Source organism: Homo sapiens, chromosome 1 (genome assembly GCF_000001405.40).
Source record: "Homo sapiens chromosome 1, GRCh38.p14 Primary Assembly".
Classification (NCBI taxonomy): Eukaryota; Metazoa; Chordata; class Mammalia; order Primates; family Hominidae; genus Homo; species Homo sapiens.
In genome coordinates this window covers 221,735,060-221,760,845 of record NC_000001.11, presented here as the reverse complement: position 1 = coordinate 221,760,845, position 25,786 = coordinate 221,735,060, and the positions used below count along the sequence as shown (strand labels likewise).

General features: G+C 43.5%; 1 protein-coding gene across 5 annotated transcripts in view, besides 11 other annotated features; it reads left to right on the top strand.

The window, feature by feature from the left end:
• Window positions 6,371-6,530: an enhancer, noted in NCBI's record as "active region_2566". NCBI's record gives its function as "activates an Ori minimal core promoter by ATAC-STARR-seq in GM12878 lymphoblastoid cells {active_cell/tissue: GM12878}" and the evidence as "EXISTENCE:reporter gene assay evidence [ECO:0000049][PMID:35858748]".
• Window positions 17,521-18,000: a silencer, noted in NCBI's record as "silent region_1831". NCBI's record gives its function as "represses an Ori minimal core promoter by ATAC-STARR-seq in GM12878 lymphoblastoid cells {active_cell/tissue: GM12878}" and the evidence as "EXISTENCE:reporter gene assay evidence [ECO:0000049][PMID:35858748]".
• Window positions 17,521-18,420: a biological region, named in NCBI's record as "H3K27ac hESC enhancer GRCh37_chr1:221915777-221916414".
• Window positions 17,774-18,411: an enhancer, noted in NCBI's record as "H3K27ac hESC enhancer chr1:221915777-221916414 (GRCh37/hg19 assembly coordinates)". NCBI's record gives its function as "activates a minimal SCP1, AML or CMV promoter by ChIP-STARR-seq in naive H9 embryonic stem cells {active_cell/tissue: H9 hESC(naive)}" and the evidence as "EXISTENCE:reporter gene assay evidence [ECO:0000049][PMID:30033119]".
• Window positions 18,221-18,420: an enhancer, noted in NCBI's record as "active region_2565". NCBI's record gives its function as "activates an Ori minimal core promoter by ATAC-STARR-seq in GM12878 lymphoblastoid cells {active_cell/tissue: GM12878}" and the evidence as "EXISTENCE:reporter gene assay evidence [ECO:0000049][PMID:35858748]".
• Window positions 18,412-19,049: an enhancer, noted in NCBI's record as "OCT4-NANOG-H3K27ac hESC enhancer chr1:221915139-221915776 (GRCh37/hg19 assembly coordinates)". NCBI's record gives its function as "activates a minimal SCP1, AML or CMV promoter by ChIP-STARR-seq in naive and primed H9 embryonic stem cells {active_cell/tissue: H9 hESC(naive and primed)}" and the evidence as "EXISTENCE:reporter gene assay evidence [ECO:0000049][PMID:30033119]".
• Window positions 18,751-18,940: an enhancer, noted in NCBI's record as "active region_2564". NCBI's record gives its function as "activates an Ori minimal core promoter by ATAC-STARR-seq in GM12878 lymphoblastoid cells {active_cell/tissue: GM12878}" and the evidence as "EXISTENCE:reporter gene assay evidence [ECO:0000049][PMID:35858748]".
• DUSP10 (dual specificity phosphatase 10) overlaps window positions 18,757-25,786 on the top strand; it is a 40,666-nt gene continuing 33,636 nt past the window's right edge. The window contains exons 1-3 of one of the 5 annotated variants that reach the window (XM_047442942.1): window positions 18,757-18,865; window positions 21,059-21,912; window positions 23,716-25,411. In XM_047442942.1, coding sequence (XP_047298898.1) covers window positions 21,102-21,912; window positions 23,716-23,762 — 858 coding nt within the window. In that variant the 5' untranslated portion in view covers window positions 18,757-18,865; window positions 21,059-21,101 and the 3' untranslated portion in view covers window positions 23,763-25,411. Of the gene's footprint in view, window positions 18,866-21,058; window positions 21,913-23,579; window positions 25,412-25,786 lie in introns of those variants that run through there. The other 4 variants (XM_017000147.3, NM_007207.6, NR_111940.2 and 1 more) reach the window with 4 other exon arrangements.
• Window positions 19,050-19,687: an enhancer, noted in NCBI's record as "NANOG-H3K27ac hESC enhancer chr1:221914501-221915138 (GRCh37/hg19 assembly coordinates)". NCBI's record gives its function as "activates a minimal SCP1, AML or CMV promoter by ChIP-STARR-seq in primed H9 embryonic stem cells {active_cell/tissue: H9 hESC(primed)}" and the evidence as "EXISTENCE:reporter gene assay evidence [ECO:0000049][PMID:30033119]".
• Window positions 19,721-19,770: a silencer, noted in NCBI's record as "silent region_1830". NCBI's record gives its function as "represses an Ori minimal core promoter by ATAC-STARR-seq in GM12878 lymphoblastoid cells {active_cell/tissue: GM12878}" and the evidence as "EXISTENCE:reporter gene assay evidence [ECO:0000049][PMID:35858748]".
• Window positions 20,081-20,220: an enhancer, noted in NCBI's record as "active region_2563". NCBI's record gives its function as "activates an Ori minimal core promoter by ATAC-STARR-seq in GM12878 lymphoblastoid cells {active_cell/tissue: GM12878}" and the evidence as "EXISTENCE:reporter gene assay evidence [ECO:0000049][PMID:35858748]".
• Window positions 22,103-22,332: an enhancer, noted in NCBI's record as "active region_2562". NCBI's record gives its function as "activates an Ori minimal core promoter by ATAC-STARR-seq in GM12878 lymphoblastoid cells {active_cell/tissue: GM12878}" and the evidence as "EXISTENCE:reporter gene assay evidence [ECO:0000049][PMID:35858748]".

Genomic DNA, 25,786 nt, shown 5'->3' with positions numbered 1-25,786 from the left:
AACCTGTTCCAACATTATTTATCCTGCCTTTGCCTACATTTCCTCTAGTCCAACCCCATCCCTAATCTCTCCCTTGGAACCTGTTTTCTTCTGATATCTGGCTTTCTCTTTACTTTTATTTGACTTGCCATCCACTGAAAATAATCATTTGTTTTTCTCCTGTCATATATATAAAAGATTTATTGAGCATTTGTAATAGTTACCAGGCTGTGAGCAACTTTTCACATTTAATGTTCACTTTTACCCTCCAAGAAAGGTTCTGGTATTTTCCCAATTTTACAAATAAGAAAACTGAGTTGTAGAAAAATTAAATTACTTGCCCAAGGTTATACAAGAAGTAGAAGTTGCCAGACTTAACCTCCAGTCAGTTGATTCCAGAGCTCACACCATTAACCGTAACGCCATCCTGTCTCCAAATGATGTTGATATACCTCACAACTGTGGATGACCTTTACACAGAGGGCATTTACAACTCAACAACGGTATGGAAACTAAGCTGCACCTGTCTATAAAGTGGGCAGCAACAGTGGCAGCAGCAGCAGCAGCGTTGTCACCTAGTGGGAAGCAGAGTGCTGGGTTGTTAGCAGGAGCAGGGCCATAAGGTCTCCAATGTGGTCTCCACCCAGTATTGGATGGGGATGTACTTTCCAAGATGAGCGATCGAGGAAACTCCAACAGTGGGTAGACCTAAGTGGGGCCGCTTCTAGCATGAGGACAAAACATACTCTGAGGAAGCTTAGAAGATAGTCCCATGAAGAATGGTGGAAGATGGAGAGCCATGGTAGGAAGGATCTGATGCATCGGGCTGGAGGCCTGCTTGTTCATACTCCGCAAGAAGGAGATGGCAAAGTCCAGGCTGTCCTAGGTGGCAGCGACCACCTGTGCGGGTGAGGCAGGGATGGGATGGTTTGCAGCTGTGCAGCCACACCCTTCACAGGAAGCAGCCCCAAGCAGGAGGAGCATCTGTGAAGATGGACACAAGTGAGGTGAGACAAGGTCAGGAATTCTCTTCTTAAACATCAATTTATTTATTCAGTCAGTAAATACTTATTGTGCACCTCCTATGTTCCAAGCCCTTGTCTAAGTATCAGACATTCAGGGTTGAACAAAACAGGCAAATATCCCTGCCCTTATGGAGGTTTAATTTATACACTTCTTGCAGCAAAGTGAATTAATCAGCAACCAAAACAAACCAGATGACGATGCGATATGGGTATGCCAGCCTTAAGATAAGCACAGTTAGAGCTGTCAAAAGAATTAATCAGGCAGCAAATATTTCCTGTAACAAGCTCTTTGCTTCATACACAAAAAAAGTTTATTCTGGAGTCTTTTCAGAGATGCACCACAGAGATCCCTGAATACGTGCAAAACAGAATCTAAATAATCAAAAGTGAATTTATGCCAAACTTTTCAGAAATCCTCCTCATATAGAGGGCAGGATGTTCTAGTGAGCAGGTACTAATAAGGTGGCCTAATTCTGTGACTGACACTATAATACCTAGTGGAGTTACTAGTTCCACAAGTCTTTTCATAGTAAGATTATTTCAAACATGGAAATCACATGAAATAAGAAAGGCCTAGCAACAATAACCATAAATTAGAGTTGCTAGTATTGATTTTGTAACCAACCTCTCTTGTCACCTTGAAGAAGTCATTTCACTTTTGTAAGTTTCATTTGCCTTTCCTATAAAAAGAGGGAGAAGGTGCATTAAACAATTTGTAAATTCTCTTTCCATTATAACATAGTCTTTCTGTATGCTTCCATGGAGGAAATCTTTCTAGGGGAGTAGAATGGATGGAACGTGGCTAAATGCATGCTAGATACAGAGGAAAAGCTGTCAAATTAACCAGGGATCCCAGCTCTTAAAACCTAGATCTGGGTATCCTCCTGTATCAGAAGCACTGGACAAATTATTATATAAACACTAGGTATCATTCCCTCAGGAGATATTTTGTTTTCTTCCCTGTGCCCTACCTGCATGTTGTATGTGGCCCTGTACACAAAGACTTGAGGTGTTTTAAAAGCAGCCATATGTGTATGTGGCCCCTTAGAGAACATGGTGCTCTACATGAGTAAATTCCCAGAAAATCTGGGCTTATTTCTGGAAACATTAGCACTCCTTTCAGCAGCTTCTAACCTATTTTACTCAGAGCCAGTATGAGGAGCACCAACATTGTTCTGTGCTGAGCTACTGTGACTTGCTACAGCTTGTTCAGGAGTGTAGATCTGAACCCAGATAATGGAGCACTTTTTATTTTTAAAGTTTTGTTTGTTGTTTGTTTGCTTGCTTATTTTTGTCTTTGTTCTTTCCTCTGCAGTCAGCTTTCTCATTGCCCTTGCCTTTTTGTTTTGTTGTGTATTTTTTTGTTTTATACCTCACTGCCTAGAAGAGGGCTTAAAGGCAACTCCATGCTTCCCCAAATGTACATCAACTGAGCCCTGTGACTCTTTGTTTCTCAGAAGGAGGCTTGTTAAACTTCCTATCAGGATGATGGGGCTAAAAGGCTAATCTTCATAGGGTTATTTGGGTATGAAAATCTGTATTTAGAAATCAATAATTAATTCAAAAAATAATTATTTGCATTAATAAATGTGCTGTTTTAAATAGGGAAAGCCATGGGCACTGTGGGGTGAGCACTAAAGGGGAGATAAAATGTTGACAAATCAGGGCATGTTCTTGCTCTACGAAATGTGAAAGACTGCCTCTCTCCTTGAACTTCATGTTTTTTTAATCTGCAAAATGAGAATAGGAACATGCACCACAGAGTTGCTGTGGAGTTCAAATGAGGTAAAATGTATAAAAGCACTTTGCAAAGACGATTGTTATGACATAGCATTGAATTACAGTTATTTGTAAGCATACCTCATCATCTAAACTATAAGCTATTTCAAAACAGGAAGTTTGCCTTACCAGGTGATATTCAAAATTATTAGATTCAAAATATTTAACAACTGGTAGGGCATCAATCAAAGCAGACACTGGCTATGAACACCAAGAATGCCTAAGCCCATGCTCACAACAGCCTGGTGCATGCCCATGGGAATATTCCAAAGGGACTAGTACAGTGCCTTGCATGTAAGGGATGCTCAGTGAATTAATTCAAAACATTATCTGCTTTGTGAAACTTTATTTTGCTCACAACATTTTTAGAAGAACTTCCAGTATAAAATGAGCTACATCGCTCTCTATTTCCCCAAGATTTCTTAGGGGCATGTGATCTATTCTTGCCCTACTTGACTCCCCAAAAGAATATTTTTTTTCCCAACTCAGTTCCAGGTACTAGCACTTGAAGCCTCTTTTCTTTTACCTAAGTTACAGATTCATTAACCCAGACTTTTAAAAAATGTTATTATTAGAAGTTTAATCACCCATGTCCTCCTTTTAAGTTCTTTCTAAAATTACTTTCTGGCAATAATAATTATGTCAATCAGGGGCCAGCCAAATATAGCTGTGGCCCTTGCGCCAAATCAAGACGGGAGTTTCCAGCCATAATCTATTATTTAGCTCCAAATGGTTGTGCTAGTTTCCCCACACCCACTCCCTCTCTGTCCTACCTACCATTCTTTTGGCATAAAGTGACAGCCTAGCAGGTGAAGTCCTAAAGACCAGGATAGAATGTCAGAACTGGGCCTGTTTTACTCTCTTTGCTACATTGGTGTCTGTCGCCAAAGTTTGCAAGTTGTATCTTATAGGAATGCAAAGACAAAAATTAAATGGTAAGTCAAGGACAGAAGCCAAAATGGTGGTGGTGTTTGTGGTGATGGGGGAGGGGGATGGTAATATTAGGGATGGAAGAGAGAGAAGCCAGGGAAACCTAGAAATGAAGAGTAGCAGACAAAGTGTGTGGATGGTAAGATTCTCATTTTGAAAGATGATCTCAGCCACAGCTGATTTTGATGTAATCCAGGAATGCTTTCATGAATGTACCAGATTCAGTGAAGGAAGCCACAACCAATAGATGCATTTCAGTAGTGGCTCTCCTGCCTTTCAGCCTCCACAGCACTCCACATCCATTGTTGGGGTTCTATGACTTTCTCTATAGGCTCTGGGATCTGAGACCACCTTGACCATAATTAGGCAGCATTTAATGACACCACTTTCATCAGCTCTGCTCAGTATGAGATCAACTAAGTTATCCCTTGGCTTCATGTATTCATTCAACTAACATGTACTGGATGCCTACTATTTTCCAGGCACTGTTCTGGGTGATTGGAATGACAAAATGTCTATTCTTAGTGGTAAGGAACTAAGAGGCAACAGAAATGTAGGCCAAAAATCTTACATGAAGGAAACAACATGCATAAAACCTCAGAGACCAAGGAAAGGGCACATTCCAGTTGTTCAAAATGCCAGGCTTATGGAGAGTTAACTGTGCCATGCCTGGTGTTTACGTGGGCTATAAGGAACAAGTGAAGGGCCAACCAGTGGAGTAAAGTGTTTAGATTTGGACTTTTGACAGCTCACTGGAGCAGCAGAGTAGAGAAAGGCTTGCTTGGATTTGCCTGGCAATATCCAGGCAAAATTTCAAGGTGGCCTAGACTAGATCGGTGGTAATGAGGATAGAGAGAAGAGGGTGGATTTGAGAGCTATGTAGGGGAGAATATCAACTAGGCTGGTGAATGATTAGTCAAGGCAGGTGAAGAAGAATACTCCTCCATACTTCTGGCTTGATGCCTTGGCGATGGAAGGCACCAACTCACCGAGGAAGAGTAAACAAACAGAAGAAAGTATAGGAAGTAAGGTGATGAGTTCAGGTTGGTTAGACATGTCTCTGGAGTATTGAGATTGATATGTCAGTAGGAAATTGTGTGGATCAGTGTTTCCTGAAAGTACCTGCTCTGGACACTGTAATGAGAAACAGAGTGCTGCCAGAAGGTAAATTAATGCTGTGCTTCTTTCAAAGAGAAGAAGAAAATCAGTTGTTTGCTTGCATTCCAACACAAGCTGCTTCTCTGAATTTGAGCCAGCAACAAATAATCTGTTATCCTGCACTGGCCCAAGGGACCCCAACTTTGAGAAGCTCAGGTCTAGGGTAGGAGCTCAGGAAAGTTGGGACTAGATGTTCAGGTAGACCATCCCCATATGATGCCATCTTCACTCTCCATAGCTGGTCTTGTCTCTTTCTTCACCTCTTCAACTGACCTTCTCTCCTCTCAACATATAGCTAAATATTTATTCATATTTCCATTTCATGTCAGAAGCAAAGGTGCCTCCTCAATTTTGAAGGCTAATAAATGCCCCTGGCCGGGTGTGGTGGCTCATGCCTGTAATCCCAGCACTTTGAGAAGCCAAAGCAGGTGGATCACTTGAGATCAGGAGTTTGAGACCAGCCTGGCCAACATGGTGAAATCTGTCTCTACTAAAAATACAAAATTAGCCAGGTGTGGTGGCATGCGCCTGTAATCCCAACTACTCGGGAGACTGGGGCAGGAGAATTACTCGAACCTGGGAGGCGAAGGTTGCAGTGAGCTGAGATTGAGCCACTGCACTCCAGCCTGGGTGACAGAGCAAGACTCCATCTCAAAAAATAAAAATAAAGAATAGAATAATTGCCCCCGGTCCTGCTGACCCGTTCATTCATTCTCCTTCATTCAGGACATGGTGCTGACAACTGTCTCCCCCTTGTACTTTCCACGTCTTGAAAGGAGTTCATTTCCATGAACTCCTCAACACAGACTCCAATACACTCAAATCCTCCATTCCGAAAAAAATAAACAGGAAATCTCCTGGGTACCCCTGGCTACTGCATCTAGCTCCTTAGCTCTCTCTTTTCCTTTATCACACACCGTTTTGAAAGAGAAGTCTTTGTCAGTCTGTCTCTACTTCCTCACCTCCACTGTCCCTCAGGGGACAACTCCCTCCCTTTCTGCAACCTGCTTTCGGTGAGATTCTCAGTTGTCATGGCCACATCTTTTTTCCATCTTCCACCTACTAAAATTCTTCACAATGTTTGACATTTAGTCAAACATCAGTTACTCTTCTTGAAACTTCCTCATTTCTAAGGTCCTCGTTCTGCCAGTTCTTCCCTCACTTATTGTTTTTTTGTTTTGTTTTGTTTTGTTTTTGAGACGGAGTCTCGCTCTGTCACCCAGGCTGGAGTGCAGTGGCACGATCTTGGCTCACTGCAAGCTCTGCCTCCCAGGTTCACACCATTCTCCTGCCTCAGCCTCCTGTGTAGCTAGGACTACAGGCGCCTGCCACCTCGCCCGGCTAATTTTTTGTATTTTTTATTAGAGACGGGGTTTCACCGTGTTAGCCAGGATGGTCTCTATCTCCTGACCTCGTGATCCGCCCGCCTCGGCCTCCCAAAGTGCTGGGATTACAGGTGTGAGCCACCGCGCCCGGCCTCTTCCCTCACTTCTTTGACCACTTGGCCACAAATTCTTCTCCTTCCACAAATGCCTAGCAGATATGACTAATTTCTGAAATAGTTTTTGAAAGTAGTTTGAAAATAGTTTCTTTTCTGAAACTATTATTGAAAGTACGTTCCTGCGTAAGTGTCTTATGCAAATAGAAACTATTAATGAAAGTATGTTCCTGGAATAGTTTCTTTTGAAAATAGTTTATTTCCTGAAACTACTATTGAAAGTATGTTTCTGGGTAAGTCACTCCAACTTTGTCTTTTTTCTTCCACAAAATGAGCAGGGTTGTGTTGTGACACTTCCAAAGTCTATTCCAGGTAGAGTTTGATTCAAGAAACATTTATTGCATGTTTTATATGTGCCATGAATAGATTTAGAAAATATACTCAAGAAGTGTGAGTTACATCAGGAGTCAAAATTCACCTACAATCTGCCATGCAACAATAACCTAACCAGCTACTGTAAATATGATTAGGGTGCTCGTTGTTTTAGCCATCCAAAAACCATCCATTGAGCACCTGGTCTCTGTGTCAGACATTATGCTAAGTACACAAATAGAATCATTATTTCTAATCCTCACAATACTCAGGAAGGCAGTGTTATTATTCCCATTTTACCAAAAAATAAACTGAGGCTCAGAAAGAGTAAGGAATTTTTATACAAGACAAAAGAGAAGTTGGAGTTGTGTTCTTTAATTATATATTTATTAATGTGCCTTCTGGTTTAATGTCCATTTTCTCTTCTAAACAGTAGGCTCTTTAAAGCAGAGAAAATGTTCATTTTGTTCATTACTGAATCCCTAGCACTTAAGAGGTAGGTACAGAGTAGGTTACTGAATGATCTAATCAATCAGTTGATCAAATTAAACTCCAGGGTCACTTGATTCTAAAGCCCATGCCATGTTTCCTAGGAGACTTGGTCCTTTATAAATGCAATGTTTGTGTCACAAAGTTTTTTGGGAACAAAGAAGAGTCCCATTAATGAATTTTTGAGAGATCTTTCATGTCATTTTTGGCTATATCTTGCTAGAAGGTGTATATCCTGACAGATAGCACCCTAGATGGCCAAGTAGTGTTGGGAGCAACCATGAAGGGGCCTAGAGGAGGAATGCAGAAATAAATCATTCCACAGCAGCTCCAAAGAGCAGAGGAGATAGATTAAGAGATGGATCGAGTACCTGGTGAAAAGTGACCAAAGGAACAGAGAAGTTACTCTCCCTCACAGTCTCTCCAAGTCCAGCTCTGTTGATCTAGAGGAGCACTATCCAAAAGAAATATAATGTAAGTGGCAATTGCAAACAACATAAGTAATTTGAAATCTTCTAGTAACTGCATGTTTAAACATAACAAGAAACAGGTGAAATTAATTTTAGTACTGTTTTATTTAACCTAATATATCTAAAATGTTATTTTAACATGTAATCAATAAAAAATTATGAATGAAATATTTTGTCCATTTTTTCCTACTGAATCTTGGAAATCTGGTATGCATTTTATACTTAGATTAGATCTTAATTCAGACAAGCCACAATTCAAGGGCTCAAATAGCCACATGTGGCTAGTGGCTACTGTATTGGAGGGTGTGGATTTAGACAAGCATAGTGTGATATGTAGTCCAGTTGCTTCAGAATTGCTGGAAAGCATGCAAGGAAGTGTACAATTTCCAGTCCCATCCCAAACCTACTGAACCAAGCCCCCCAGGGATCTGTGTGCCTTTGGAGTTGGAGCAATGCTGGTCTGGCTAACAGGCAGGGGGCTTCCAGTCTACTAGAAATGAGGGAGAATGAAATGGAGAACTATATATTCACAGTCAAGCACTCTACATATCTCTGATAAAGAGCCAGGGAAACAAAAAACATAAGGCAGCTGCAAAAATGGCATGCATTTTTATCTCTGATTTGCTTTCGTGAACTGTGAACTCTTCTTGAGAAATCCACTCCTTAGGCTCTTAGCTGAGATTTTATAATTCAACCATATGTCGATTAACTTGGGAAAGCAGAAGTAACAAATAAATAACCTCAACAAGATGTCAACATTAATACTGAGATTTAAAATGGCTTTCTTAATAAATGCTATAAAATTGGGAAATCAATCTGTTCTTACTATGGAAACTCCTGACAGTCTCAAAATTCAGGATGTTTAGAAAAAGATTAAATATGCATTTGGGGGAAAGTAAAAATATTCATATATTTCTTCCTTCAGGCTGAATGGACACAAATCAGAGGCTCAGAAACTGTATCTTAGGTTTATTTTTATCATTCCAATCTCCAGATTTCTTTAGAATCCCAAAGCCAGAAACTTCAACTGGGATTTTCTATTTTTCCCTAATAAATTATAGGGGGGAAATTTGTTTTTCTTTGGCATCAACAATTCTATCTTAGATCTATTAAGTGTATCCTCATCACCTTTTTAGGGTAGTTTTAAACTCATGGAAATTATGTTACTCAAAGATGAAGATGAACCCAATTCAGTACATTTTTAGTAATACAGGACAGGATTGCAGGACACTTGGTACAATTCTCATCTTTTAGGCTATGCTTTGCTCTGTCCACCAAAGGGGAAAAAGGGTGTATTAGGATTCTCTAGAGAAACAGAACCAACAGGATGTGTATGTGTATAAATGGAGATTTATTCTAAGGAATTGGCTCATGCAATATGGAGGCTGGCAAGTTCAAAATCTGCAGGGTGGGCAAATGGGCTGGAGAGCCAGGAAAGATCCAATGTTGCAGTTAAAGTCTGAAGGCTGACTGGCAGAATTCCCATTGCTCAGGGGAAGTCAGTCTTTTGTTCCATTCAGGCCTTCCACTGACTGGATGAGGCCCACCCAAATTATGGGGGGTAATCTGCTTTACTTAAAGTCCACCCCTTTACATGTTAATCTCATTCAAAAACACCCTCGTACAAACAAACACCTTCACAGAAACAAGCAGAATAACACTTGACCACATATCCCATGATCCAGTCACGTTGGCCACAGAATTAACCATCAGAAAGGAAGATTGCACTAGCTTAAACATACAAAGGGGAAGTTCTGCATCCACACAGAGAGAGACACAAACTACTCCTTATACCATGGGACTAGCGGAACTTGTCTTTGAGGTTCTCCTGGGTTTAAAAAGAGGGGCCCCAGGTGTGTGCTTGACATCCCTCAACTGTACAAAAGCAGTTGGCGCCTGTCTAAGCCAGTGCAGCCTTCCTTAACATGCACCAACACAGACAGCCCTATTCTTTCTTTTCTATCCCAGGAGGTGGTGGGGCCCAGTGTCTGCTGAAGTCAATCAGAATGAGTTTTAGTAATATCACATTTTTTTTTTTTGCCAGCAAACATTCAACAACCCCTCTGTAACCAGATCCTATTCTATTTAATAGCTTGTGAAATTGTAAATTTCTGGAAATAGCAAAATACCCTCTACTTGTCTGCTCTTTGCCTTCTTTCTGCCCAAAGTTACCCTTCCCAACTCTGGAGTCAAAATACAAACTAAATTTTAAAACAAAAGCAAACAAAACAAAACAAAAAACCCAGTCAGCCCACTGTTCTTTTTGCCTGCCTGCCTTACTTCTTTCAGTCCTTCTTTAACATGCTGGGCAAGTTTGATGAGTTAAAATGTCTGCCTTTAACTCCTCTAATCCATATTCGGGGGGACTCATGTATTACATGAAGATTAGGACTGTGTTGAAAAGGGAGTCCAAATCTATTGGCATTTCTATTCTGCAGAATATAGAAAAGACACTTCATTGGACTGTTTGCTATTATTAATCCAATTTAAGGTTTAGAATGGCGGTTCATAGAGTTGCTTCAGTTTTCCTAATTACTGGGAATAGGAATTGCAAACTGAAGCATGAAGGAGCTAAGAGTCCTTGTGAATTATACATCTTAGTTTACTACTGTAGAAAAATGATACAGTTTTTCTGTCACCATACCTGCGATGGTGAGCACTGGCAGATGAATGAAGCACAGCGCCAGCTCTCTGGCTACTTTCTGATCCAATCTATTTATCTTTCTTGCATTCTAAATTTTTGTGACCTGCAAGTTAATGGCAAAAATAACATTTGCTTCTTTTCTAACATTTCTACTTGAACTAAAATTTTAGCCAGTTCCAATAAGGATTTTTCTCTTACCTGTTGAATAACTCGAATTGACTAGACCTGACCTGATTTGGATTAATTTGAATACCCCTACTATATGCCTGAGTGGTACTGTGGGCTCAGTATTTAGCATAGCATAGACACTTAAATTCACCCAGAAAGGGTTTCATCCACCATGTTTGTACATTCTTGGCCCTTGCTGGTCATGAGTATAATTACAAAGTGTTTGCTTTATTTACCAGCTAGACCAGGGAAAACACTGAACCCTCCCCCTGGGTGTGAAATCCAGGTGGACTTGGGCCCATTCACAGAGCATTAGAAACAGGACTTCTCGGGGTGCTGCTCCCCACCTAACCCAGAATCAGTAGTGGCATTTCCTTTCAGAGCACAACCACCAGGAAGACGAAGAACTCACTGATGTCCAGGCTCAGGTCCTTGATTAAATGCCTTTCTGAAGAAAGCTATTTATTGGCATCAGTCACATGCTAGAGAAAATAAACACTGGACAATCCGTCTGTCAGGGAGATAAACACCAGGAAATGCATGCCTTTGAGAATTACAAGAAGGAAGATGTTGAACGAGAAAAGGAAGATACCTTCATCCTCCTGAAACTCAGTGAACAAGAAGAGGAATTTTTTCTAAACATTGAAGACAATCATAATTGCAAAGAGCATTGACCAAAACAAAAATCAAGTATGGTATGGAGTATAATGAGATGGATTATAATGAGAAAGATGCTGATGTTTTCTAAATTCTATGGGAAAGAAATGGAGTTAAACTGTAAAGAGGGAAATATGATCACAACAAAACAAAACAAGTGGTGTGTAAACAACGTAGCTCCCCAGAGATAGACACTTGGTTAATATCTGCATAAATAATTCAAAAGAGTAGTGAATTTAGGGACTTTGGAGGTTTCTAAGTTTCCAGCTATTACAGAAGGCCAAACCAGTAGCTAGAAAGCTATCATCAGATGGACCAGGGTATGCCTCTAGAAAAATGAATAATTCAAAGGTACGTTCTTGCTACAACCTGAATATTTGTGTCCCCCCAAAATTCATATGTTGAAATCCTAAGGCCCAAGGTGATCATGGGGGCAGAACCCTCATGAATGGGATTAGTGCTCTTATAAAAGAGGCCCTAGAGAGAACCCTCACACTTTCCACCATGTGAGGACACAGCCAGAAGTTAGTAGTCTGTAACCCACAAGAGAGTCCTTATCAGAACCTGATCATGCTGGCACCTTGATCTTGGACTTTCAGCCTCCAGAACTGTGAGAAATAAATTTCTGTTGTTCGTAAGGCATTCAGTTTATGATATTTTGTTATAGCAGTCTGAATGGACAAAGACAGTATGTTTAAAAAACATTCTCAGTTCATTCATTCATTCAGTCACTCACTCACTGAACCGAAGCTTAATGAGTTCAAACTACGTGCTAGCTCCCGGGCCACCGGCTAGGGATGGGACGGCAAACAAGACATGGTTTTTCTAATAGAAGTGTCATAGGCTCTTCCTTGAATTTACCAGTCCAATCCGCAGTAGCAACCAAGCCATTGACACAATTTAGGGCAATATTTGAGACTGTTCTGGAAATAAAGTGGAGGTCTGGATCCATTCCCCAATGTGGAGGCTGCGGTTGTAAGAGTGAGACCACATGGAGATTCACGTCATGATGGACTTAGAAAAGTTCAGAAGAAAACAAAAGAAAAAAACAGCAAATTCTTATGAACAGGCAATTAAAAATATACTGCAGTCTGGAGACTGAGGGGGACATGATAGAAGTTTATAAAATCACAACAAGAGTGAATGAAATAACACAAAATGGTTAAAAGCAGATGCTCTGGTGCCAGATTGTCTGGGTTTAAGTGTTGACTCTGCTGCTTTCTAGTTTTGTGACCTTGGGCAAATTATTTACCCCATCTGTATTTCTGTTTTCTCATCTTTAAATTAAGCTAATAAAAAAGTACTTACTTATAGATCGATGTGGCTGTGAGGATTTAAGTGAGTTAATGCATGTAAATCACTTACAGCAGTGCTTAGCACAGAACAAAACACTTAGTAATATGTTACCTATGATTATTTTTTCCCAAATTCTAGATCTTTAAAATCAGTTCAGTTAATATTCAATTGTAAAGATAAAGTACGTTATGATGCACTTTGTTGTCTAAAGGAACTTCTTATATGTAGAAGTGGTACAGTCTGAACCTACTAGGAGATGCTGAGAACGTTAGATTAATTCTTTAGTGTTAGACCTGAAACAAGTCTTGAGGGGGTTTATGAATGCTTTGCGTGCATGTTTACCTTATAACTTTGCATCCTTCAGTAACACAGTTGGACCCAGCCTCCTGGGGTTGAGAAACTGGCGCTGACAGCATATCGTAATGATAAAACATGATTGCTCAGTTTAGTGAAGGGGAAAATGTTAACAGTCTTTGATGTAGCAACACATAATAATAACAGGCCATCCGCCACAGAGGAGGGCATTGTTGGAGACCCAAGGCCAGTGAATGTTTTGTGTGTGTTATTTTCATAAAGAAAATAAGTTTACATCCATGGTCCACACACTTGGGCTGAGGCAAAATCCTCTTCTGAGAAAGAGCAGCAGATGTTTGTGGGGTTACAAATAGGGGAGCAGTGAAGGGGAAGAAAAAACTGAAAGGGATCTGCTTGCCTAAATGAAGACAGGGAGCATATTAATTCCCCTAACCAGCCAGTCACCTCTGTGTGATCAGTAGAGGCCAGAGTGAACCTTGAAAAGAGGTCTGAGATCAATCATGCTTTGGCCATGCCATCCAGTGAAATTGCTTTACAGGAAAAAAAAAAAAAAAAAAGAGAGAGAAACAGGATTAAAAAACAAAACAGAGGATGGGCGTGGTGGCTCACGCCTGTAATCCCAGCACTTTGGGAGGCCGAGGTGGGTGGATCATGGGGTCAGGAGTTCAAGACTAGCCTGACCAACATGGTGAAACCCCGTCTCTACTAAAAATACAAAAGTTAGCTAGGCGTGATGGTGCATGCCTTCTAGTCCCAGCTACTCAGGAGGCTAAGGCAGAATTGCTTGATCTCAGGAGGCGTGGGTTGCAGTGAGCCAAGATCATGCCACTGCACTCCAGCCTGGGCGGCAGAGTAAGACTCCATCTCAAAAACAAAAAAACAAAAAACAAACAAACAAAAAAACCAGAACCACCACAACAAAAAAATCCCAACCAGGATCCTTTCTTTAACTGAAATTTTACTTTGGAAGCCCATGAATAAGACATATATCTATCCATAGCTATATCTGCATCTGTCAAGTGTGAAGGTGTGGAGGACAAGATTGTGGTCACAGAGGCTCCACCAGTTCACCCCTGCTCCCATTTCTATTGCCTCCCACTTGCACTGATGTCTTTTACCCTTTGTATATAAAGTTTTCAAGATCCAATGTGTATTTTAATCTTATGGCACATCTTAATTCAGACTAGCCACACTTCGAGTGGCCGACACATGTGTCAAATGACCACCACACTGGAAAATACAGATATAGAGCCTTAAATGGCTCAGAGCCTTTTCCTGAGTCACAAGCACACCTGCCCATGAATTTTGTAGGAAAGAACTGCAGGCCTCTTGTGTCCAAACTCATAGATAGTGGGACAAGCACATGGCCCTGCCTCTGTTTCCATCATTACAGTAGCCACTGTCTTAGTCCAGTTGTGCCGCTATAACAAAATACCTGAGACTGGGGAAGTTGTAAGGAACAGAAATTTATTGCTCACATGAGTTCTGGAGGCTGGGAAGTCCAAGATCAAGGTGCCATCTGCAGGTTCACTGCCTGGTGAGGGTCCAATCTCTGATTTCAAGATAGCACCTTGTTGCTGTGTCCCCACAGGGGAATGGAAGAAAACTAACTCACTCCCTGAAGCCCTTTTGTAATGGCCCTAATCCCTTCCATGAGGCCTCTGCCCTCATGACTTAACCACCTCCAAAAGGCCTCATCTCTTAATAGTGTCACACTGGTGATTAAGTTTCAACATGTATTTTGGGGGAACATTCAAACCATAGCAGCTCCTTCCTTCAGGGAACACTTCTTATCAGCCCTTCCCTAGGCCTGGAGAGTGTTGCTGGATGTTTTGCCAGGCTGGTCTCAATGACCTCAAACACTTACCATGCCACTTTCCTATTCCTCAGCTTATTCCCCACTCCTTCTGGTATAATATCATCTTTATCCTGGATGATTTTTAAGTTTTCTCCAAGCCATTCTCTGCCTTAATTCTAGTACCTCCAGAAATCTATCTTGACCTTGAGGATTATTTTGAAGGCCCCACCTTCTGCCATTACCCCACACACTTAACCATTTAAGTGCACAAAAAAGAAGTAATTTAATTAATACATTTGCTAAATACTATCCATATTATATCTTATATGTTGGCCTAAGTTATTGTCATCTTTTGACTTTAATACATAGTACTTCAGCTGAAACAGTCAATATTTTTCTTATGATGTTTGTGGGAACAAAGATATGCTCAATACAATCATGTTACAACATCCAGACTGAATGAAGATGCTTCACTCTTTCTTTGGGACTGAAACTAACATTAACGCTCTGCTGCTGGTTATTGATATACAGATCAGATTTGTAGCCATTGGCTGACTAGCATTACGAATTTAAGTCTCAGGGCATTATATTTCAGTGTAGTATTTTCACATTTATCGCTCAAAAACAGGAATAAAATCACTTCTTCTTGTCCAAAAGATGTTCTGAAGAGTAGTGAATGGAAAAAAATTCCATCTATAATCTGATTTTTTTCACCAGTCTTATGACTTGAATATAAACTTAGAGATGCCTAACTTAAAAAATAACTACAACTTTGCTTATATTCATAATCTGGTAATTATTCCACATTTCAGGCTTGATATATGATAAGGAATTTTGCCATCTTTCCCAATGTTTCAGCCTGGATGGCTTAGATTCTTAGTCAACTAAATTATAATAATCTACTACTTTGAAACTATAATAAAACAATCATCTCATTACAAGAGTTACATTTCTTCTTGAAATTACTTTTCCATTTTGGGCCTTGTGGGAAAAGCTGTTAAGAACTCTTCTGCAATTGTATAAATCTATACTTTGGGCTTAGATGTTGAGGCATTAGAAATGAATTCATCATTTATAGATCATATATACCTTTAAAGATAGGCACCTTATTTCCTAAAGCAAGTAAATTAATTTTTTTTTCCACTGAATGCCTTTTATCAGCAGGGGATCTTTTTTCCCCCCTGAGCGCTTGAATGAGTTCCCTTTTTCTTCTGAGTTGGGGTATTACCATTCTATGGATAAATGAAGACAGAGACTGGATGAACAGATATAACAGATAGAGTCAGAATCAGAACTTAGAACTCTCAAACTCTGAGTTAATGAAAAATTTTCCCATAATTGTCTATGTTTAGGGAAAGGTAAGCTTTCAGCCTTCCAGCTCCAGATAGATCAAGGGTAGAACCTCTGGGAAGTTCTTTTCTGATTTGTATAGAAATTACCCAGAACCCAAGTTTCCTGACCATAACCTGTTGATCTTCAAACATTTAAGAACCAAATGGTGTGCCCTAAGCACTCTGCTATTATCAGGAGGGTGAATTGACGTGTGTGTTGGTGTGTGGATGGAGAGAGGTGTAAACCAAAAATAAAATTCTAAGCACCCCCCACGCCCCACCCCCTGCCCACCCCGCCTTCCCAGGCAACCCTCTGAACGGACTAATTTGTCAACCAGGGCTCTTGTAAAATTTATCCTGAAAGACTGGTTCAGGCCATGAAGGGATGTGAGGGTGGGACGTGCCCCATTCATTATATATCAACCAACGGACTAATTTCTCAACCCAGGCTCCTGTAAAATTTATCCTGAAAGACTGGTTCAGGCCATGAGGGGAAGTGAGGGTGGGATGAGCCCTGTTATATATCAACATGGAGTTCAAGTCTGATAAGAAACATTTTACAACCTATTGTCTCTGAACCTGCTGCCTGGAGACTTCATCTGCATAATAAAACTTTGGTCCCCACAAGCTCTTATCTTAACCCATACGTTCCTTTCTTTGATCTCAGGTCTTTAGACAAACTCAACCAATTGTCAACCAGAAAATGTTTAAATTTACCTATAGCCTGAAAGCCCACCCGCTCCTTAGAGTTGTCCAGCCTTTTTGGACCAAACCAATGTATTTCTTAAATGTATTTGATTGATGTCTCATGCCTCCCTAAAATGTATAAAACCAAGCTGGACCCCAACCACCTTGGGCACGTGCTCAGGACCTCCTGAGGGCTGTGTCACAGGCCATGGTCACTCATATTTGGCTCAGAATAAATCTCTTCAAATATTTTACAGAGTTTGACTATTTTCGACAACAGACGTTACACAAAATCCTCTCCTATGTAAGACTATCGGATGTGTACGTGATGCCCGTCGTAACACTGGTGTGAAAAGCTGGACTGGGGGGTATGTGCCTGCATGTAAGTGGAGGTGCCCAAGGGGATTTCTCTTCACAGCTCATTGAGCATAGCTGACTTGCTAGCTATGGTCTGACACCTCCTGATTTCAGATCTGCCCTGAAAACAATTACATGAATATGCCCCTGCTACTCAGTATACTACTAGGCTTGGAGTCTGAAGTAGACCTCCAAACCCCATCCAATCAGGTAAGGGAGAAAAACGATAGCCCAACATTCCCTAGTGCTCATAATGTATTATTCCATTATTTCACTTTTTATCCCTTCTCTCACAGATAAGAAAAGAAAAAGCTCTACTTCTTTAGGGTTCTTGGACGTAGACTCTCCACAGTTCATCTGGGGTTGTTCATCTCCACTTCTTTTTGTATCCCAGGGCAACTTTCCTGCAGTTTCCCTAATGAGAATATTTTCCGGACTAGGCAAGGGGCGGCTTGCCCCGCCCCCTACTCTTCTCCCTGATCAGGAGCTGCGGCCAGCTACCTGGCGCCGGCCAAAGTCAGGGGAGCGGGGAGAGGCGGCGTCACCTCCTCCACGCTCCTCCGGCCCCATTCAATCTAGCTATTTGCACTCGGCTCTGGCTCTTTTCCGCCAGCTGCGGCTGTTCCAGAAGCGCCGGGCTGCCGGTCCTGGCCTCGGCAGGGGCCGTGCGGGACCGAGGGGTGGCGGCCGAGGCATGTGGGGCGGGTGGGTTGCGCGCTGCTGGCACGGCGCGGGGACCCAGCGCGCCAGGCGGGAAAGGGGGGCGGCGGCGGGCGGGGACCCAGACCCGGAGGGGCAGCGGGCGCGTAGCGGGCCCCAGGACGCCCGGCCAGGGGATTGGCCTCTGCACCGCTGCTCAGGGCGCGTCCCTTGCCGCCTCTGGCGTCGACTCAAGCCTCCTCCTCCGAGCAGCCCTCAGTGGCGCCGCCTTAGTGCTCTGGGTCGAGCCCCGGGAGGGTTAGCCTGGGGACGGCAGGGGCGTGACCGTGGCGCGGAAGTAGGTGAGCAGCAGGGCGGCGCGCGGCGGTCAGGCCGGGACAGCCAGAGGGGCAGCGACATCTGCGGGCGGGCGGGCGGGAGGCGGACGCTTCCCGGGCGGAGCAGGGCCCTCCGGAGGACGCAGGCCGCGTCGAGGCTGAAGGGCCTCCCTGTCCGGGACGGTCAGCTGCCAAGTTCGGGCCCTTAGCGCGTGGCCCCGGGCCGCGGCTCGGAGCGGAAGCGTCGCCCCTGGCTGCGCGCTCATGCTGGTCCTAGCGCAGAAGACCCGGCGAGGTCCGCGAATTTTGGCTTAGCGTTTGTCAAGTCACCTCGAGCGACTCGGAGAGAACCCGGCTTTCCCACTAGGGACGGTGATCGCAGTCTCTTTCCTTTAGAAAGTTACTCCGATACTTTTGATCATCTGTCCATAGTAAGGAGGAAAAATAGCGTGGTTTGTCCCCGGGTGAGGGAGTGTTGGAGGATCCCGTCCAGTGGGAAGAGCCAGTTTTAGCGGAGCAGCGCGTCCAGCCCGCTGACACTTCAGCCTGGTAAAGGGTTAACTGCATCCTGCCGGTTCGGTTTACATGTAAATAGAGAGCAGCTGCTCCGCGCGGCCCCGGCTGGCTCTTTTAAGTTTTTGATTGGTTGCCAATGACATCACCGCCCGTGTTTTAACACCGAGGACCCAGAGCAGCTTCGGATAAACCCTCCTTAAAGAGATGAGGCCACGCCTTCTTACCCGCCCCCTAGGCTGCCCATTGGTCGCGGGGCTCTGTGAGGTAGCGGTCGGCTTTCTCCGGATTCTTATTGGCCCAACCCGCCGTCGGTCGGCGGCGAGTCCGCCCCCTCAGAACCTTACATTTACAGTGTAGCAAAAGAGAAAGTAACTATGTTGCTGCTGGAGATCAATGAAGCCGAGTGAATGGGGGCTGAATGTGCGAGTCCATAGCTGAAGAGGAGCGCCAGATGGTGGAGGAATACACTTATTTATGAAGTAAGTGGAAGTCACCGCGACTACTCCTGAGAGCCCGGGACTGGAGGTGGAGGATTGTAAGGCGGTGCTTGTGTGAGTGTGAGTGTGTGTGTTTGTGTGTGTGTATCTGTGTGTGTGTGAGAGAGAGACAGAGACAGAAAGATAGAGATGCGATGCTGACGGAGGAGCTACAGCAGGTAGGGTTATAAGGTTCCGGCCGTTGGCTCCTGCTACCCTGTGCGTTTACTCCCTGCAGTCTACTTGGATTTGGGGCGAAGAAAAAATGAGGTTTGTTGGGATGCTTTGCGGCAGTTTTAAATGCTCGGGGCTCATTAGTGCGCTGTGTGCCGAGGAGTGAAGCGGGGGGCGGGGGGATGTTAAGTGCTCCAGGAATGGGGAAGAAGCATTCTCTAACCACTTAATTTTCTCTCCAGCTCTTGCCTAGTGGTGGAAGGGAGAGGGGATAGCTCAGTATTTCTCTGGGAGATTTTCTGGGCCAGACTGGATGGTTTCACGGGCAGTATGTACGCCCGACCCTCTGCTGCAGGGATGCAGGTCTCTCTATACACTCCGTGTGTGTGTGTGTGAGCCTTGAACTCTGTGTGGAGGTGGGGGTCCCAGCGCGTGTCTCTGTGAACACGCTTATGCGTCCCTCTCAGAAGAAATGGTATGTTGATCCTGGACGTGTCCTACCAGGTAACACAATAGCAAAGACTTTCACCGCTTGGTCCAACCGGGAAACAGTTATAGCTTCTGGAATAGAACTCGCTCTTCAGAAAAAATACTACGCAAGGGAAGGGGGGTTGACTCCTTCGCTCCCATCCAAAGGTGGGTGAGAGAAACCCGAGTCGTTGGAGATCTGCCGACGTGATGGGTGCGTGCCCCGTGTGCGCGCGTGAGTGTGGATTCCGCCTGTGACACTTTGGTTCTGTGTCAGAGAATGGTGACGGTCGTGTGTAGACGGATGAGAATGGTGACGGTCGTGTGTAGACGGATGATAGATGGCATTTTTCCTGATAGCTCTTAAAGTTCGTTTAGGTGAGCGTCTCTTGGCGTGGGGTTTGGCGTCTTTGCTATGTGCATGTCTAATAGAAGAAGAAGAGTTAGCAAGCCTGAGTTGTAGAGTGCCCCTGTGCCTACAGGAGGAAGGAGCTGTCTTTTTGCAGACACTCTGAAATCAGAGATAGATCCGGTGGGCAACAATTCACTGTCCCTTTCAACGAGTACAGGCTAATTGGGAGGTCCTCTTTACGGAATCAGTACTCTTGAAGGGGGGATATCTGTATGGGATTGAAACCTTATACAACGTGGCTGCCTCCCATTGAGAGAAGCTCTAGGATGCACAGTCTGTGCCAGCCAGGGAGATGAAGAGGGGAGGAGAGCCCAAGTTGTCCTTTCCAGGCAGGAATGAGGGCGGGGGCAGGTGAGAGAGCAAAGGGTGAGGGATTTGCCGGGGCTGGGGTTTCCAGGTTTCCAGATCTGGCTCCATGGCTTGAGATTTCGTTTTAGGACACCAGTTAGTAGTGAAAAGGGGAAATGCAGATTAATTTATAAGAGGCCAAAAGACAACATGTGAGGTTTTAGTATGACTATGTTGTGCTTTTCAAAGGACCCCAATAGAGAATGGAAGGCAAGAATAGCTCCAAGTTAAAGAGATTCACTTAAGGGGATTTGCAGAAAGTTGACATCCACCCTGATGTATATTTAGCTGCTGTACCTTTCTGTGAACCATGCCAGTGCTCTTGGTTACCCCTTTGCCTTTGCAGCGAGTGAGGGAATTAAATGGCAAGCATGCAAGGGTGGACAAATGGGTCTTTCTCAGATGTTTGCAGTGTACTTCTGCCCGAGAGCTGAGGTTCAGAATAGATGCCTCTTAAGAGCCTCCCTTCTGTCTTCAGCTTTTCTAATTATTTGTGCTTATACCTTCTCTACAGCTGAACTTTTATGTAGGTCCAGGAAAGGTTGTTCATTAACATTTACAACATTACATCCAAATTTAACCTTAGACTTAGCAACCAAATTGATTGGAGCCCTCAGGTTTGCATCCTCTTTGAATACATAAAAATGAATTTCAAGTTTTGATAATGGTATGATAAAGGGCAATTAGGACGACTTTGCTCAGAGGGATGCAAAGGTCTTTCCCAGGGATTGGATGAGACTGCCTTTTGTGTCACGTGACTTTATTCTTTCTTTCCCCCTTCCCCTTCTTTACAGACTGTCTTGAGTTCTTCTTGAATTGCCAGTTTTCAGCCTCCTCATGCCTCCGTCTCCTTTAGACGACAGGGTAGTAGTGGCACTATCTAGGCCCGTCCGACCTCAGGATCTCAACCTTTGTTTAGACTCTAGTTACCTTGGCTCTGCCAACCCAGGCAGTAACAGCCACCCTCCTGTCATCGCCACCACCGTTGTGTCCCTCAAGGCTGCGAATCTGACGTATATGCCCTCATCCAGCGGCTCTGCCCGCTCGCTGAATTGTGGATGCAGCAGTGCCAGCTGCTGCACTGTGGCAACCTACGACAAGGACAATCAGGCCCAAACCCAAGCCATTGCCGCTGGCACCACCACCACTGCCATCGGAACCTCTACCACCTGCCCTGCTAACCAGATGGTCAACAATAATGAGAATACAGGCTCTCTAAGTCCATCAAGTGGGGTGGGCAGCCCTGTGTCAGGGACCCCCAAGCAGCTAGCCAGCATCAAAATAATCTACCCCAATGACTTGGCAAAGAAGATGACCAAATGCAGCAAGAGTCACCTGCCGAGTCAGGGCCCTGTCATCATTGACTGCAGGCCCTTCATGGAGTACAACAAGAGTCACATCCAAGGAGCTGTCCACATTAACTGTGCCGATAAGATCAGCCGGCGGAGACTGCAGCAGGGCAAGATCACTGTCCTAGACTTGATTTCCTGTAGGGAAGGCAAGGACTCTTTCAAGAGGATCTTTTCCAAAGAAATTATAGTTTATGATGAGAATACCAATGAACCAAGCCGAGTGATGCCCTCCCAGCCACTTCACATAGTCCTCGAGTCCCTGAAGAGAGAAGGCAAAGAACCTCTGGTGTTGAAAGGTAATGCCCCTGCTCCCTTCCCAAGCACGGTCCTGATTAGCCGGGTTCACTTTGGGTTTTCTCGTAGAGTGACAGCATTCTCCTTACCCTGGCTACCAAAGACCAAAATAGACTTTATTCTTCTCTTCCCTTCTATGCTCTTTATTGTTTTGGTTTAGTAAGAAAAACCCAGCAGCACTGAACTGGAAGCCAGAAGATCTGGGTTCTACCCTTCATTTGGGTTCTAATTTGCATTGTGCAAGTCATTTCACCTCTCTGGGACTGTTTTCTCATCTTTCTAAAAAGGGGCTTTATACACACCAGATGGTATCTCAAGTCATGCCTGGTCTGCTAGCTCTATTCCAATCAATCACTAGTTGGAAAGTTATTGTCTCTCAGACTTAACCAATGTTGATGGAACAGAGGAAGGAGCAACTATGGTGAACTACAAGTAAACCTACAGGTACCAGTTCTTACTGTGGGAAATTCTTTCTCTTTCTCACCTTTCTGACCAGCTTGACTTTTATGTGGTTTATAAAGTGACCTTGAAGAAGGGCAGAGCTTCTTATTCTAAGGCCCCATATAAAGTATAAGTTCACCAATTACATCCATTCCTCTGCCAAGGCTCCAAGGGAACAGAGACGTTTTTATGAAACACTCCCCAACCCATTGTTTTTTCTGGCCTCACCTGACAACGGTTGGCATCATGGCTCCTCCCAAGATGGAGTAATGGGTCACTTGCCCCAGTATACTGAATGCAGAATAACTGAGATTAGCAGAACTGAGCTCTGGCAGAAGGAATTATTCACCACTCTTCTCGGAGCACCTTCCATACCGTGTTGCCTAACCTTTCCAAGTAGCCTGCATCCTGTGCCCAGCCTAGTTGCACCTCTTTGCCCTCAGATACTGACTTTTGGGGCACTGTACATCACTCTCATTCGGCATCTTTTACCTGGTGGTGGTAGTGAGAGATAGTCGTCTTCTCTCTTCTCTCCTCTTGTGTTCTGAGCCAAGGTACGCAGTTTCTGGGTCACATCTCCAACCAGTCTCCTAAAGTGTGTTGACCAAAGGTGTTGCTGAGTTTGAACACATTGCATATTTAAATTGCAATAGGACATGTGGGTGAGCAAGTTAGTTATTTTGTCTCTATGGGACAGCTTTGCCATTCTCCTTCTTGTCTTCCCAGTGGGGCATTCTGCCTTTTGTTAAGCAGTGTTCTGGGAATTATAGTTCTGAATTCCACTGACACAATCTCCTCTTCCCACCCTCCGCTCTCCTCAAACTTGCCCTCATGGGGCTACACTACCACAAAGGCACATCTCTCCTTAGGGCTGGTGGGCTTTGCTGGGAAGGAGAACATGAAAGAATTGTATGTAGAGAGTTCCAGAAGCTTCTAGACATTTCCTGGTCGTGGTGGTTGTGGTGGGTTTTCTTGAGGTCACAAATATGTTCAGATTTCCTCCATATAGCTCTGTATTTTATTGTTTCTGTATTCTTGTATGGTTGACTTTGAGTGATTCCCAGGATATTTACCCTGCTATTGTCTTACCATAATCTTGATGTGTCTAGCCTCTTACAAATGAGAAAATCCTACCGAGGAATTTCCCATTTGTAATAGTTTGTCTTGGGGAGCAAAGAGGAGGATAGCCAATGATCATGATGATCTCCTCTTTTCTCACGCAGAGCAGGTGTTCATGATAAAAAGCAAGTCTTTTGTGTCTTCATGATCTGAAGAGAGGAAACAACACGGATCAAGATGATCCTAGACCTCCTAATCATGGGGATGATTACAAGGAGTTGCAGACCCTACTCTCTATTTTGCAGTGGGTGGAGTTGTGGATAGGGGTGACCCATCAGTCATTGAGAAATGAATCTCCTGGGTGCTACTTGTGAAAGTGAGGATCCTCTCTCCCTTTCCTGTGGATGCAGCTGAGATTCTGGACAGCCTAGACTTCTTCCTCAGTGTCAGAGTAAGATTGCCTCAATGGGGCGGGGCAGGACACACTGCTGACCTCACCACTGGGCGCCCTGGGCAGCCACTGCGAGGCCTCGTCATTTTCGAGTTGGTGAGACACCGCGGCAGTCGACTTGGAAGATGCTCTGGTGGTAGAGGTTAGATTATTTGTAGTTTTGGGGGCCTTTTCTTCAAATATCTGGGAATTTCATTGAAAATATGTAGTTCAGGAGTGAAGGGGTCTATATTCTACTTTATAATTATCATTATCATTTTGGTATCTTTTGGGAGAATGGCCTAAAATTGGGACCAAGATGGAAAAGAAGGGAAAGGAATGGGTCAATATTAGAATGCCCTTCGTTATCCTTTCAACTTGGTAAACCAGAGATTAATACCATAGCACCACTGTGGTGAAAGACGGGGTGGGCATTCCCCAAAGGCATGACCAGCAGACTTCTCTCAGATTCTTGAGTGGGTCAAGCAGACCATTCTGGTCTGGCTTCTCCTCTCAGATTTATTTGAGTAATCCCCTCCCTTGGTGATAAGATTGTGTTTCAGCAAGAGTGGTAGTGGTACCATTTCGGAAGGAGTAATTTTTGCAGGGAAGTTGGTGGGAGGGGGGCATAGTTAGAACATAAGGAGGAAACTTCTAAAGGCTTGTTAGTTTATTTTCAGAGATTTCAGTACAATCTTGGGTAATTTATGGCTGGCCCATCTGATGCTCTGGTTTATGTTTGTAAACACTGGTTGCTACCCTCCCTGTCCAAGATCCTTGTCCCCCTGTCTCCATGCCATACTCTCCATTTTTGGTGCTGTCTGTCAAGTAGAGCGGCTGCTAACTTGCCATTTTAGTAATGCTGTGTCAGGTTGGGAAGAAACCGATCAGAGGCATGGCAGCCCCTGGGATTAAGTTACTGTTCTAATTTACAGTGCCCTCCCTGTTGTGACCTATGCTAGAATCTATGTTTTAGTCTCATCTTCTAAAGAATAAATGGCATCAGACCTGTGCTTCTCTTCAACCTGGTGAAAATGATCCAAATGAATAAATATTTAGGGATTTGTGAGGTCTTTGAAAGAATTATATTGTTTTACTCAAAGCTGATTTTTAATCAACTAAAACTTGCTTTCTAGTCAAACTGAGTAAGAAAGTTGAACAATTCTAGACCATCCATAACGAGAGCTACCGTTTTTGCTATAAAGTTTTTCAGGCTCCCTTTCTTTTCAGTAAAGCTGGGTCCAGGGAAATAATTTGTCATTTACTTAGGTAGGAAGAAATAGTCTACTGCCCCTTTTTCTTAAAGACAGTATATGCCTTCAAAAATGTTATTATAAACATTTTCAAGCATATAGAAAAGCAGAAAAGTGTGTAATGAACATCCATACACCTATCAACCAGATTAAACAATTATATTTTTCCTATTTGCTTTCTCTTTTCTGTTGAAATATTTAAAAATATAGATAATGTTTTAATGTATTTAAGTATGTTTAATGTGTAAATTAATGTTTCAAATTCAATAAAGCTGGAAATATTTTATAGTATACTATGAACATTTTCACTCGTAAACACTTGAGTGTCATGTACCCATTTTTAAGTGCTTTTCAACTTCGAATCCCTCTGTGACTGACTGGCAGTCAGGTCTACAGAGGAGCTTCCCTCCCTGGGAGTAGGAGGGCTCCAGGTGCCTCCTTGGGGTCTGTGTGTCCCCCTTCCTCCCTGGTATGTCAGAGCCCATGCCTCTACTTGCTCTATGCTGTTGTAAAACAAGGAATGACCAACTGCTACAATCTTTATAGGACTGCTCTGTACCAAAGGCCTTTACTGGGGGAATGTGAGAAGAAGAGGGAAATGGTTTAAAAGGATGATCCATGGGGAGGATTTGATCATGCAGGCAGTTAGGCCTTTATACTATAAAACTTCATCACTCCTTAGAATTGAGCACC